We start from the raw sequence: 16,068 nt of genomic DNA on the forward strand, positions 1-16,068 counted from the left end.
AACAGAAAGTTTCAAGTCCAGACATTTCCCAAATTCTAGATTATTTAGTCTTGAAAAACATCTTCTGTGACCTATTAATAGTCTTAGCCAAGCCAAAACCCTTTCTTTTTCATCCTTCCTCCAGCAACCCTGTTGACCAAGCCTGCACAGGCTTTCTGTCATCTTCAGGGTCCCCTCCCAGATCCGTGACCAAATGCTTGAAGAGTAACATAGAAATACCTCCTGAGAACAAGCAGTATGATACCAAGTAAGACAGCCTGATCCAGTCGTTGTGAAAGAGGCATTCCTTTAAAGGAAGTAAATCTGTCTACAGAGTGTAATTCTGTCCACCCCTCTCCACCTCCACCACCCTCATTCATGATAACCTGTTAACATTGTTATGCAGAGAAACTCAGCTCTTTGGAAATCCATTGCCTTTGCTTTGCTTAGTCAGAAGGGTCATTGCTCAAGAGTGAATCCAAGAACCCACCTTCAGCAACAAAGGAAATCACTTGAACCTTTGATTTCATGGCTCTGTTTCAGCTTCAACCCTCCTCATCAGACTATATAAACCCCAGGACCAATGTTTTCTTTTGAGGACCAAATTCAGAATGCCTTGACTTTTTCTTCTGTCAACAGCCTCTGCAAGGAGGAGATTTCCAAAGCAGGTGATTTCAGAGCAACAGTAGCTATCATCGCACCAAGCATCCTTCACACGTTCTATCTTGTTTTCCAGCAAGGAGAATAAAACTCAGTGAGGTTGAGTGGTTTGCCTAATGTTCCAAAGCTAATAACTAGGAGAACCATTATTTGAACCCAATCAGTTTGATTCTGGCTCCAGCCCTCTTAACCGCTTTTCAAGTGGGGAATGAGAGTCTAGCCTGGGAATGAGAAGAATTGCAGACCCATCTCCCCTCTACAGCAGACTGTGGGTACTATGGCATTCTCTTGGTGTGGATTGAGGTCAACATCCCTCCATGGCATATATAGCCAATATTCAGTATTTAGATGACAGAGACACTAAAACCTGATCAGCCTGAACCTGCAAAATCCTTCCCCTGCCTCTACGCTAAACCTGGAGGAGAATGTGGCTCTGTGATGCAGACTCCTCCATCTCCCCACAGTCAAGGAGAGCCAGAGCCAGCGTGTCATCCCTTTGGGATTCCCTTCTTTCCTTCCTTGCTTTTTTTTTTCTCTTCTCTTCTTTTCTTTCCTTTCTTTCTTTCTTTTTTTTTTTTTTTTTTTTTTTTGAGACAGGGTCTCTCTGTCGCCCAGGCTGGAGTGCAGTGGTGTGATAACAGCTCACTGCAGCCTCTACCTCCTGAGCTCAGGTGATCCTTCCACTTAAGCCTCCCAAGTAGCTGTGCCTGCAGGTGTGTGCCACCACACCTGGCTAATTTTTTAATTTTTTGTAGAGATGGGGTTTCGCCATGTTGCCCAGGCTGGTCTCAAACTCCTGAGCTCAAGTGATCCTCCTGCCTCGGTCTCCCAAAGCTCAGGGATTATAGGCTGACATTGTAATTTCTGTTGGTCCCAGCTCATCTCCCCAGCCTGACATCTGCTACAGTTGCTCACTCAGCTCAGTGGGCCCTGACATCACTGCAGGCTCCTTCCCGGGGTTCCATATCAATAAAGTCTTTGATTGGAGGCTACAGGACTAAGTAGAGAGAAGGAATTGGTCAGAGGGAAGAGGTCGAACTGTATGCCAAACTAGTGAAGGTTACCAGCTTAGCTCGGTTCTGTCTATTTTTCTTTCTCATTAGAGTCACTTATTGTGTGCATAGGGCTCTCTCAAGGTTCTCTTTCCCCCTTAGTTTACTGATCATCCTGGTTATTTGTGCTGGATGCTGAGATGGAGTTTGATAACTCTTTGTGGTGTTTCCTAATCCAGGCTCATAAGCCCTGTGTTTAGCAGAGACTCCTTTGCATCTGTGGTATTTGGTTGAGTAAGTGTATGGGCCCCTTTATTTAAATTATTTTACACAAGAGGTAGCTTTAAATGAATTCAGGTCTTGGATGAATTCTCAGAGCACCAAATATCATTGCAAATGTGATTACTGAACCATTGTTGATAATGTTTTTGAGGTCATAGAGAACTAGAGACGGGCCACAAAACAGAAGATTGACAAATGTTGAATATTTTTCACATAGGCGAGGTGGATAGCATGTGGAAATTGCAAACTGATAAGTGTGACATCTCTTACCAATAAGATACCAGGATGGACCACTGAGTAGACAGTTTCTGCACACTAAATCACCATGCATAAACATGGGTTCTCAAGAAATAGCTCATGCCAAATGACCTAGTCTGTTTATACTTGCTTATTTGAATCAAGGATCAGGAAGTACTATAGGCATGGCTCTTCCTGACTGCAGTGAGATATTTGAAGAAGTTTCTTTTGAAATCTTAGTAGATAAGATGGAGAAATGTGAGTTGGCTACTGGTTAATTAGGCGGATTTGTAACTGGCTGAACAACTATACCTAAAGAATATTGATAAAATATTTTTTAATCAACAACTCACACAAAAGTATTTATGACATGCTTATCATCATTTACAAATGATGCCAAACTGCAAGGGATAGCTAATAATTTGGATGACAAAATTAGGATTCTAAAGTATTTTGCCAGACTGGAACTTGGATTAAAGCTAACAACAACAAAGTGAATGGAGATAGTGTGGAGATTTTCCCTTCAGGTGTAAAAAAAGAAATTGTATAAGCACAGGAAGGGTAGACATGAGTTAGCAGTAATTCCTTGCATTAGTTGGGGATGCCTTTGGCTGCAAGTAACAAAAATACCTGATTCAAGATGGATAAGGCAATTTATCATCTCCTATAACAAGGAGACAGGCAAAGCAGCTGTGGGTGTGAAAGCTTTACTTCTCTGAGATACTCTAGGCTAGCAGTTGTCAACCAGGGCAGTTTTGCCCCCAGGAAACATTTGACTATACCTAGGAACATTTTTTGGTTGTCACAACTGGTAAGGTGGGAGTATGCTATGGCCTTTAGTGGACAGAGATGTCATGGATGCTGCTGAACATCCTACAATGTGCAGGATAGCTCCCACAACAAATAATTACATGGCCCAAAATGTCAGTAGTTCAAGACTCAGAAGCCCTGATTTTTTACAGTAATCCAGATCTACTGTCTGGAGCCTTCCCTGAAGTCACATGGGGGAAGGGTGGATAGCTGAGCAAAATTGGGATTTTTTAGGAAGGAAGAAAGGAGGGATGGATGTTGGAGAGTCCGCCATAAAGATACTACATTCATATCAAAAATATTTTTTAATTGATTATGAGCCAGGGTCACTGCCAGCCCAGAAAAGATCTTTGTGTGATTTAGAACTAAGGCACCCCCCTTCCTCAGAAACTTTACTGCCATCTGCTGGAAAAACTACTGAAGGAAATATGTAAATCTACAATAGGTTGTAAATAGAGCCCCCTAGAGTTGTGCCACACATAACCTCACGATAATTTACAGCATGCATCCCTTCTGTGAGTCTAACATGATCCAGCTATATAAAATGGCTGTCAAAGAAGTAGCTTAGGACTTTACAAACAGGAACCATGTGTCCCAAGTAAGGAAGGTCAAAATCTCACCATATCCTACATTGGTCACACCACAGCTGGAATTCTTGGTAAATTCTTGGTTTCATAGTTGAAGAATTTTTTTTTTAAGTGACCAAAGAAAGTTGGACTGGAGGAAGAAGTATCAAGGAGTCATAATATATGAGAAGTGTGTGTGGAGAAAGGAAGGAACTGGAGATGTAGAGCTGGTGAAGAAACACTAAAAGTCAACTGGAGCGTTATCTCCAAGTATCTGAAGGGTTTTAAGGGGATAAGGACCAGACTGAATCTGTGTTTCTCCAAAGGGCAAAACTGGGTCCAATGAGTGAAATCATAGACTCATGAGATATGGCTGGAAGTGACCTTGGTGGTCAACGAATCAAACCCATTTTTCAAACATCCCTCCTACAGTACTTCCACAGCAGCTACCCTGCCAGCACACCTTCAGTGTGATCTTTAGGTGATGCTAAAGTGTTTTACGTTACATTGAACTCTGCCTCCTCTGGCTCTCATCCATCATTCCCTGTCTCCTTAGCTGCTCTCTTGTGACAAGTAGGTTTCAGAGACAGATTTGCTCTACATAACAAAGGAAGTTTCACAACCAGGGTTTCCATCCAGTGGCTTCAAGTAGAAGATGGACTACCATTGGTCAGGGATCAGATCCCTCGTCTATCAAATGAAAGAGTTAAACCTAGAAGATTCTAAGTTATTTCCTGCTATCCAAGTGGATTATGGTCTCTGGGCTACAAAAGTAAGAGTTTGATGTTGCTGCCAAGTTTTTCTTCTCATTTCCTCATCCTCCCTGTACACGTTTGCACGATTTGGCACTTGATTTTACCATAATTAATTTAATCAGCCCCCAACTCATGAACCTTTAGAGTGTTTCCAATTTTTCATTATTACAAACCATACTGCAATAAACATTCTTATATATTACTTTGGGGCACTTGTGTAAATATTTTTATAGGTTAAGTTCCCAGGAATGGAATTGTTGAGTAAAAGGGATAGACATTTTGAACTTAATCTGCCTTAATGATTTGCATTAATTTACCCACACCAATACTGGACAATTGCACTTAATCATTTCTGTCAGACTGAAAAATCTGTATTTGATTTTTTACTTCTTTGATTATTAGAGAAGTTAAGCATTGATTTCTATGAATTGCTCCTCTTCATAATCCTTGTCCATTTTTGTATGAGTTATCAATATTTTGTAAAAGTTATTTATATATTGTGGATATTAATGACTTGTTCAGGTGTATTTATATTCAAATATTATTTCTAGTTTTGAATATGTCTTCTTAGATCTATTTAGATATTTTGCTAGAGAGAAGATTTTAATAAAATCTGACAATGTTTTATGTTATATATTTTAGGCTTTAAGTTATGCTTAAAAAGATGGAAATATTATGCAAATATTCTCCAATACTTTTATGGTAAGATGTTTCATGTTTCATATTTAATTACTTAGTCTGAATTTTTAAAATGCAGTGTCAATTTATTATGTACATTTTTTAAATGAATATCCAAATATTCTGATCCTATTTATTTAAAAAAATACCCTCTTCTATTATGATTGCCACTTATTTACATATTTACTTCCCATTTGTACATATGTGTATCTATTACACTTCCAATTCTCTTTCATTCAACAACTTACCTTTTTCTGTACTTGTATCGTACAATTTTTAATACTGTGGCTTTATGGTGCTTTTTGATTGCTCGTAGAATAAATTCCCTCCTAATTTTCTTCTTTTACAAAAAAATAGAATTGTTTTTCCTTGGAATTCAATTAAATTAATGGAGCAATTTGGGAATAATTGATATTGTTATAGAATTAAATCTACCCATCCAAGAACTTGTGTCTCTTCACTTACTAACTCAAATATTCTCCTATATCTTTGAAGAAAATTATTTAATTTTTATGTATGCCTTATACATTTCTTTTTAAATATGTGACTAATTATTTTGTAGTTAAGCATGCTCTTTGAAGAATTTTATTAAAATTTTCTAACAGGTTTTTGTTGCTATGTAGGAAGCCTATGGATTTTCATTTTTTAATATAAATTTAATCTAGATGCTTCACAGAACTCAGTTTACATACTTGATGGCTGATTCTCTTGGATATGTCATCTATTCACATTATCCACAATCATGACGATTTTTCCTTTTTAATTTACTACATGTGGTTCTTTACTTGGCTTTTTCATTATTTTGGCTAGAACCTCCAGAACAATGATAAATAATAGCCGTGATGGTGAGCATCTTTGTCTTATTCTTGATTTTGGTGGTGTTTCTAGTGTTTAATCATTAAGGATGATGTTCAATGATTTTATGATACTTTTTTTTTTTTTTTGAGATGGAGTCTTGCTGTCGCCCAGGTTGGAGTGCAGTGGCGCGATCTTGGCTCACTGGATTTTATGATACTTTTGTCTATTTAGTAAACTCTCCTTATTCTCATGACTTGCTAGGAGAATATAACAAGGACAAAATTTGAATTTTGCCAAATAAGATTTTGGCATCTATTGAAATTTTGGCATCATTTTTTTTCTTTAGCTATTAATATAAATGTATGGATATCTACTACTGAACCAGACTTGAACTTCTGAAATGCTTAGTCATGATATTTTATCTTTTAATACATTGTTTCACTGAAATTTTCAATAATTTATTTAGGATTTTTACACTTCCATAAATTGGTCTATATGTTGGCACCATCTCTGTCAGATTTTAGTATCAGAGCTAAATTAGTCTCATAAAATTGCTCAGGAAGGACTTCATCTCTAAGTATAGATAAGAAATATTTGCCCTATGGAGATGTGATAGATCTCACTTATAAAACCATCTACCCTGAGGTATTCGGGGTGTTAAGTATTTTATTACCTTTGCCCTTTCTTCTGTGATTATTGGTCTTTTAGATCTTCTGCCTTTTCTTGAACCATTTTTGCGATTTATACTTACATTAGTGGTCATTTCATCTAGAATTTCAAATTTACTAAAATAAATATGTATGTGATATTAAATTTTTAAAAATTCCCTCTACATAAGTAGTTGTATCTTGATATGGCTTGGCTGTTTTCCTACCCAAGTCTCATCTTGAATTGTAGCTCCCACAATTCCCACATGTTGTGGGAGGGACCTGGTGAGAGATAATTGAATCATGGGGGCAGTTTCCCCCATACTGTTTTCGTGGTAGTGAGTAAGTCTCGTAAGATCTGATGGTTTTATAAAGGATTTCCCCTTTCACTTGATTCTCATTGTCTCTTGCCTGCTGCTATGTAAAACATGCCCTTCACCTTCCACCATGATCCCACGTGGACTGTGAGTTTATTAAACTTCTCTTCTTTATAAGTTACCCAGTCTCAGGAGTGTCTTTATCAGCAGCATGAAAATGGACTAATACATATCTACTTTCTTACTGAAGAAATTATGTATTTGCATTCTTTTTTACTCCTTTTTTTGCCAGTCTTAAAAAAGTATCTATTTTTTAATAATCTTTTCAAAAGAATTTCACAAGTAGAAAAATCACATCTATTTTGTTCATCTCAGCATCCTCAGTGACCTTGTGCAGTACCTAGACATAGGCACATAATAAATATTTATTGTCAAGGTAAATCAATAGAAACTTGTTTTGGTTTTCTGTATCAATCCTATTTTTCTCTGTCTACTGCTTCATTTTTTTCATCTACTTTATTTTGATGTTTTGTTGTTTCTCTTCTAGTTTCAGGAATAAAACTCTCAGCCAGTTCTTTTCAAACTTTTATTTATAATAAAATAATTAAACAATGAATTCTACTCTGAGGGTAGCTTTGGTTTCACCCTATAGACCTTCATATATCTTGTTTTTTATTATTAATTTTTAAGTAGATAGCAATTTTTTAAATGGTTATCAATGATTTTAGTTTTAGAAAACCATTTATTTTTGTTTATTATTCCTAGTTTTATTGCACTATAACGGTTTTGGAAATATCTTGAGCTTCTGTTTATATAGTTGTACATGGTCGATTTTTGTAAAGAATTTACAGGTATTCAAAAAGGATTTTTTTTCTATGTATTCGGTATGAAGATAGGAGAATACACAAGAAGAAGCAGGTTTGGGAGAAGATAATGTGTCCAGTCTTAACTTACTGCTTTCAAGTTGCCTGCAAAAATGACAAAGTGTTGGTGTCAGTACGTGGGGCCAACAGATGGGTCTGGGGCTCAAGAAAAAGATGCACCTGGGAGTCATTGCTGTGTGTGGTAGTTAAGGCCAACATGCATGAGATTATCCCAAGAACGTGTAGAGTGAGAAAGGCTGGCTGCATGGGCAGTTGACCACACAGGACCCGTGCTCAGAGGGCATATGCTTGGTTTAATGCTTTGCTGTCGCCATCTTGAATTTCTTAATAATTGTTGAACCATGGACCCACATTTTCATTTTGCACTGAGCCCTGCTAATTATGTAGCAGTTTCTGAGTGTGAAAAGGACAAAGACAAACTGAAGCACCAAGCTCAAAGGGGTGGGCAGTGCAAGAGAAGCCGGGGAGATTTTGATGGAGCCCTGTGCCAGGTTGGAGGAGATGTTGGAGAGTTGGTTCATAGGAGTGACAGAGGCCAGGGTCTCACAAGGGCCATGTTATGCAGAAGAGTTGTGGATGAAGAGGTGTGGAAAGCAGCCAGTTTGCACTGTTTGAGGTGTGAAAAGGACAGGGACCTGTAGGCAACAAGAGTGGACAAAACAGACTTCTAGTTTGGTGACACAGTATGGAGAAAGATTCAGATTCTGACCTCTTCTTCCACCTTCTACTGCCACTATTGTAGTTCATACCCCCACGGGCTCCTGTCTGCACTACTATAGCAGCCTCCTGACTCCTCCCTGCTTCGTCCTTGCCCCCAGTGGTCACGATGATTGTGCTGAAACTTCAGTCAGATCACATTACGCCTCTGGCCAAACCCACCAAAGGCTTCTCATCTCAGAACATCAAGTCTTTCCTGTGGCCTCCGAGGCCCTACTGGGTCCAGTCCCCACCCTCCGTTGCCTGCTACGCTCCCCTTCACTCACATGGCTCCAGCCACACTGGCCTCCTTGGCTTCTTCCTGCACTCTTAACCTGCCTCATAGCTTTACCTGGAATGTCCTTCCACCATTCACTCCTTGACCAACTCCCTGTCTTCCCTGGGCTCTGCTCAAATATAGCCTCTCTGGGAGCTCCTCCCTGGCTGGCCTGTCCATGCCTGCTCCTCCTTACTGTATTTTCATCACATCGCTCAACACCACCTATCTTACTGTGTAGTTACTGGCTTGCTTTTTGTCTTCTCACCCCTGGGAGAGTGGACTATTGGCTTTGCTCACAGTTTGTCTGTTTGGATGCTCTTGTAGAAGGACAGTGGCCCAGGAGGAGATCAGCAGCTATGTGGACCCTATTTCCCAAGCCAAAAACTATGATATGTTGTCTAGTAATGACATAGAATATGTATTTATTTATCTGTTTGTGTATACACCTCTTTGTTTCACAAAAGGATTTAAGGCAGTTTACAAAGATGCATAAAATTCAGCAGGACGACATAAATTAGAAGCAGGTGAGAAAGAAAAAAAATGTAAAAGCAAGGGTAAAGCCATAAAATGGAGCCAAGGATGGGACTAATACAAAATAAACATACTATAAACTTTGATCCATTTGCTAGGGGTGGGCCACAAATTTGGCTCTAAAATTTCTAACAGCCAGTGCCAAGATGAAACATGATCAACTGCACAATTCCCAGGATCCTCAAGATTAAAGCAAACCACTAGCCCAGGAGAAATGCATACATTCCTGATGTCCCAGAGAACAGAAAGAAATGGCTCCTTAACCCCTCCCAGAGATGACAAGGGATAAGACAGCCAGCAATTTGCTCAGAGGCATCTTTGCAGCAGACACAGCCATGAACTTTGTTTCTTACATTTCTTAGCCAGGCTTATGGGAGTCTGACTAATGTGAAATGCAGTTATCTGGTGGGCTAGGGCACAGGGTTCTGTCCAGCCATAGGAGTGCCTGAGCAACTGGTGGAGGGTGTAATCTCCAAATGCTTTCTTTTTTTTTTTTTTTGAGACAGAGTCTTGCTCTGTCACCCAGGCTGGAGTGCAGTGTTGCAATCTCGGCTCACTGCAGTCTCCACCTGCCAGGTTCAAGCAATTCTCATGCCTTAGCCTCCTGAGTAGCTGGGACTACAGGCTCATGCCACCACGCCTGGCTAATTTTTGTATTTTTTTTTTTAGCAGAGACAGGGTTTCCCCATGTTGGCCAGGCTAGTCTAGAACTCCTGACCTCAAGTGATCCACACACCTCAGCCTCCCAAAGTGCTGGGATTACAAGTGTGAGCCACTGCACCCAGCTCGAGTAATGCAGTCTAAGGAGAGCTTCTTTAGGCCAAGCTTCAGGCAGATATCGGGGGACTGTGGGTTCTCATGACTGTCATGAGAACATGACAAGACTAGGTGACAAAGCTTTGTTTGAGATCCACTAGATGTCAAACTGCAAAGAGGTTGGACATCGTCTAGGAAAAATGAAGCAGGTCTAACAAGGACTTGTTCCCTCTCTCAAGATGAGCAAGATTCTTCCCAGAAAACAAGACCGAGATTCTAACAAGACGAAGATTCTTCCCAGGAAATAATGATGAGCCCAGTGCAATAGAGTGCAAGTGACTTCAGCCTGGGAACGGTTTAAAGCAGACCCGTACAAACACCTACCTAATTTGTGTGTGTGTCAGTAAAATCTCCTTCCTGCTTTACCTTCCAAGATAAACCCTTTGTGAAACACATGCCAAGTTAACTGAGAGGAGACCTGCATGGGATAATTAACTGTCGTTAAAAGCCAAGGGACAACCACCAAAAATAATGACTTTGCTGATAGAGTATTTGATCTGAAATCTTTCTTTCTGGCAATAATTAAATAGCAGGGCCAGCTGTGTCCTGGGATTGAATACTGAAATCAAGCTGCCCCAGAAAATCCAGACTGCAGGCCTGTGGGAGAAAGAGCAGAGCCAGCGTGGCCCCTCCCCGGGCCCGCTCCCCACCCCTGATAAGGATCCCAGCCACCTCCCTGCTTCCCTGGGGTGTTGAAAGTCTCCAAGATAGCAAAGTGCCCCTCCTCTGAGATCCTGGGAAGGAAAGTGCTAGGCAAATAAGAAACATGGCATAGGACAAAGAGTAGCTGGAAGACTGGAATTGCAAGGAGGGCTCTGGGCCTCTCAGTTCAGAGCCCCGGCTCCTGAAAATAGGATCTCAGCTCCATGGCCAAGTCAAAGAAATGGGTTGGCAGCCTTTCTGAGTATCTTCCCTAAATTTTCCTTGGCACAGATTAAAACATCCTGTCAGATCCACGAATACTGAGCACATTCAATGACCAAAGTCCAGTATATCAATGTCCTCAAGAAGTGCCCTGCTTCCCTCCTGGCCACCTAGCAACTTCCTCGCTCTGTGAACCACTTCTCGACCTCCCGGCCTCCCCGCACTCCTCATACCTCTTTCTTTTACCTCACTGATACCTGCAGCAGAATTAGCCCCTATAGAGAGAAGTCAGTCCTAACCCTGTGGGCTACAACCCCTGGCCTCCCTGGTCCCCTGAGCTTTGATCTGGCTGCCCTTCTCCATGTTCACACCCTCTTACTTGTTCTCTGGGGTTAGTCATAATAACCCCTCATGTTAACGGGGCAGGAGATCACCTTAGATCTGCCCCACAACCACAAGGAGGTGAGTGGTTGGAGGCTAATTATTATCTCAATTTTACAAATAAAGAAACGGGCTCTGAATCATCCCGTGGTTTTCCCACAGCCGGACCCCACAGTGTCCAGGCAGGGAGCAGAACTCACAACTTCAGGCTCCCAGCCTATGAGCCGCCACACCCATCTCTAAACCCAAAACCAGCCACCAGCTCCAGGAGGAGTCATCCTTGCCCATTGAGGGCAACTGGAGTGCACAGTGTGCAGGTGTGTGTGAGGGGCAGAGGCCAGGAGGTGGGGAGGGCTCTCTGGCGTTCCATCACTTCCATAGCTCCTGCTTCATGGTATCGGGATGACCCAGCCAGAGGGAACGCACGAGTTTCCCCATTGCAACCCTTCACTTTACAGATGGGGAAACTGAGGCTCAGGATCCTCAGTAGAGTGCCCACTATATGATGGGAGCTGGGCACCAGCACCCCTAGGTGAGCACTGGGGGGCCAGATTCTCACTTGGCCACGCACCATGCACACACCTCCCCCTGCCCCTCGAGTTCTTCTAAGCCACCCTGACAAGGCCTGGCTGTGGGTTCTTCTGGAAAGAGAATTGGACTGCTCACCAGTAGCTCCTCCTTCCGGGCCTAGTTTGGCAGCTGACCCTTGGGGTGGCCTGGAACCTTTTCTTTACAATTTAAGAGCCTGTTCTCAGCCTTTCCCACAAAGGGCTTGACCTCAAGAAGCTGATCAGACTCTGGCTTAATGTTTATTCTAGGATTCCAGGACTTCCTTCAAGAAAGGAGTACTCTCCTTGAACAGACAAGCTGTGGCCAAGTGAGGTGGGAAGCCACGGCGGGCAGAACTGGTGGAGTGAGGGCTGGATGGCAGTTGGAGGTGGAGGCGGGAAGCCTGCCTGGAAGGAGGGGTAAGGCTCTGAGGAGGAGGAAGAGCAGGTGCCCCAGGCCAGGGAGAGGGCAAAGAACAGGTTCTGGCCCATTTGGGGCTCCATGAGGCTGCAGCCCAGCCCAAGGCCCTGAAGTCCTAGGACATCCAGTCCCTTGATTCCTCAGCTGGAAAAGCCAAGGCCACCTTTAACTCATATCAACTTTGAATGGTCCTGGCCAGACACCTTGACACACAGGGTCTCCTTGCTGCTTCACAACCTATCTGTGCCTGGGGATTTATATTCCTATTTTGCAGACAAGAAAACTGGGGCCAGATAAGTAAGGTCAGAGCAGAACTACAGCAGCAGCAGGGATTGCAGGGCCTGGCCAGTGCTTTGTCCTCTGCGTAGCCCTTGGCCCCAGCATACCCCGTCATGACCAGATCCCATGCCTCTGGATTGATGAACACAAATGCGTAGCTCATGAAGATGGGCTGGGAATCTAAGACTGCTCCCAGCCAGGGAATCAGAAGTATCCTGCCCCAAACATCAGTATTTCATGTTCAACACTCAACTCACCCATATGCTAATCTTTTTATTCATTTCACTCATCGAGCAAATATGGATTTAGTTCCTTTTGTGTGCCGGGCACTGTGCTCCACTGGAGTTACACAGTGTGATTAGGGCATGGGCTTTCACATGTTATCACTATGGTACACTCGAGCATTGCTGGAATGTCTAGGGGGAAGCTCTGCACCTGAACCCCCATCCCCTCCTGAGAAGCTGTATCCTCTGCCTGACTCTATCGAGGTGAGGGGTGGAGGCTGTGGGAGTCAAGGAGGAGGAGGGAGAGAGAAAGAGCCTGAGAGAGCTGTAAAAGTGAGACAGTAATCACTGGAGAAGTTCTCTCCATCATTAAAGAGGATCTTAATTAAGGTCCCTGAAACAGACACCCAAAACAAGCAGCAGCTGTGGGAACCAGGACTGGCAGGGGGAGCACAGCCGCCCAGGGGTGCTGGGTGTTACTGGCCAGCGCCTCACCTGTCATTAGGGAGTGGGAATTCACCCCACATCAAAGTCAGCCAGGAAAGAATGTGACAAATGCCATTCACCTTCAAAACAGTGATGAAAATAAATGCCAAAGCCTGCCAACCATTGTGTGCGAAAACTCCTCGGGCAGAAGGCCGATCCCCAGAGAGAGGTGAGGTGTGTCCAGCTGAGAAGCAAAGAAGAGGTGCCTGGGTCTGGGAACAGAGCCTTCCCTAGACTGTGGCTGCCTGGACCTGGACACGCCTCTCCTGGCCTTTGGCCTTCAGTTTACCTGGTGCTAAGACCCTGGGAAATCCCTTTCCTCTACTGTCCCACCACTCTGGGATACCTTAATGTGGTTGCTTTACTCTGCTGGTGCCTAGGGAATCAGAGGACATCCTGGGTGGAGTCTCTCCCACCCTTGAAGAAGGACATCGTCATGGCCCGTCTTGGACCCCCTGACTTTCCTCTTCTGGGAGGAAATAACTGGGAGGCAGTTATTTTCTCTTTGTTGTTTATAATATGGACAAACCTTGACCAAAAAAAAAAAAAAGAAGAAGAAAATAACTTCTGAGTCTGGATGCTTCATTACATATGGCGTAATCCAGAATTCGAGGAAACGGGGGCAAGTCGACATCTCAAGATGAGTTTACGGCTGATGCAGGCAGGGGTTAGCCAGTGGCACCAGGCTGGCGGCATGAGGTGGCAGAACGCTCTTAGTGCCGAGCTGTGTCCACACACGCATCGGGTTAATACCGGGAATTGTTCATCTAGGAGTCTTTGGGAGCCTGCCTTTAGCAGAAAGCAGAGAAATCATGGCCCAGAGACTGAGAGACAGAAGCAGAGGTAAAGAGAGATCCAAAGAGAGTTGGGGAGGCGGGTGGGATGCATTAGCCACAGAGTAGTCTTTACTGAGACACCTGTGTTTCCCAAATAGCTTTCTTCTGCCGCTTGAGCTGCAAACCCAACACAAAGAGGCCAGCCTCTCCTCTCCTACCCCCACCTTGAACTTCAGATCCTGTGAATATCCTATGGCAAGTTCAAAGCAAGTTCCAACAACCCCTCCCATCCCTCAGAAGCAAGTGTGGCTGAGGCTTCATCACAGCCTTCCACCAGGGAGGACCCTGAGCTCCGGAAGGCAGCAAAGCAGGTCTGTTTTATAGCCTCTGAAGAGACTTTGTCATACTGTCACCTCACGCTGACCAGACTTCAGTAATCGTGGGGGAATGAGGAGGGCCCCTAATCTACCTTGGGCCTACTTCATATTGATACCAAGGGCCAGAGGAATTCAGAGAGCCGTGTGGACTAGAAAGGCCAGGGAAGGTATCCTGGTGGAGGTGGCATGTGATCTGGGCCTTGAAGGGTGGATAGGAGTTGCAACAGAGAAGAGAAGACACCCTCTGCAGTGGCACCTGCAGGGCCATGAATTGGTGGTAGGGTAGACATACGTGGCTTGAGCCACAGGCGATAGGATGAAAGCCACGTTGGAAGAACAGCTGTGTGGCCCTGCAGTCAGAGGCTGCTCTGGGTTGGGGAGGATACCGTGGAGATATAAATCAGGAAACAAGACCACAGGGATTGCACTAGGAGGTGGCATGCCCAGGAACTGGGGCATCTCTCCTTCAGGACCACATCTCTCCTTGTGGTCACTGAGACACCTTGAAGTGTCTCAAGTGGGACACCAGACCATCCTCCTCTGCATTAAGCATAAGGGAGGCACGAGGTGTGATTTGGCTGCAGCACGCAGGCTACAAGTCTGACCTAAGGGGGAACTTCCTGACTGGGAAAGTGTGAAAATCTCCCAAGAGTCAACGGTGATCTTAGAATCCTTTGCCCTGAAGGCCTTTAACAAGGCCCCTGTCTGCTGACTGCTGGGCCCCACTCCCCACCTGTGAATTGCAGATCCTTAGTTTCCAGGGAGTGGGACTTAGAAAGGTCAGAGTTTGGCCTCTCTGCCACTCTCACAATAATAACAAATAATTACGATTATGGCAGCAGCTGACATTCTATGTTCCAGGCACTGTTCAAAGCGCTCCAAGTGCGGCAATTCGTTTAATCTTCACACGGTCTTATCAGGTACTATTTTCCCCATTCTACAGTTGAAGAAACTAAGAAGCAAAGGCAAATCACTTGCTCCAAATCACTCGGCAAGTAAATGTTAGTGTGGAGATCTGAAGCCGTGATTCTGCGCTCTCTACAAATCTGTGTGTCTTTGAATATCCTCCACTTTGCTCTCACAGCATTTCCCAGGAACCCTCCATACTCCCAGGTCTGTGCATCAGGCAGAGCAGAACTAACATGAAAAAATCAAAGCTACAGCAATTTCATGAATGTCTGAATGCCGCAAGCATCTCTATATGTTATGAAGTTTGGCATGGAATAAAATCAAGCGGCCATTTTTCCAAATTCTAAACGTGAGCCCAGCGTCTGACAAGCGGTTAAACATAGAACACCAAGATTTACAGGAAGCCAGGTGTGGGGTTTGCACTAGGCTCACACGAAAGACTGTGGCTGCTCAGCAAGGGCAGTGGTCTTGAGACTGCAGACCTCGGGGGCACCTCTGTAGAGGGGTGAGGAGGAGACCCCGGCCAGACCTGAGGGCACGGAGGACACTGGCTGTAAGCCAGGCAGCTTCAAACAGGGGCAGCAGCAGGGGCAAAGTGGAGATGAGTGCTATTGTCTAACAAAAAAAGGTGACCCTGAATGTGACCGTCTCTTCTGCTGCAGGAGAATTTGCTAGGCGAGGGGGAAGAGGGGCACCATGGTAGCATGGTCTCAGGTTGGTAGCATAGCCCATGCTCTTGTGATCGTGCCGTCTCAGCGCAATTTAAAAGTAAACAAATATGTAGAGGACAGAGGCTTCGATCAGTGCATGATCTGGACAACATCCGCAGGGCCCATTGTTGGTGCCCTGATTCCAATTTACCCTTCGGTTGCTGG

Source organism: Homo sapiens, chromosome 2 (genome assembly GCF_000001405.40).
Source record: "Homo sapiens chromosome 2, GRCh38.p14 Primary Assembly".
Classification (NCBI taxonomy): Eukaryota; Metazoa; Chordata; class Mammalia; order Primates; family Hominidae; genus Homo; species Homo sapiens.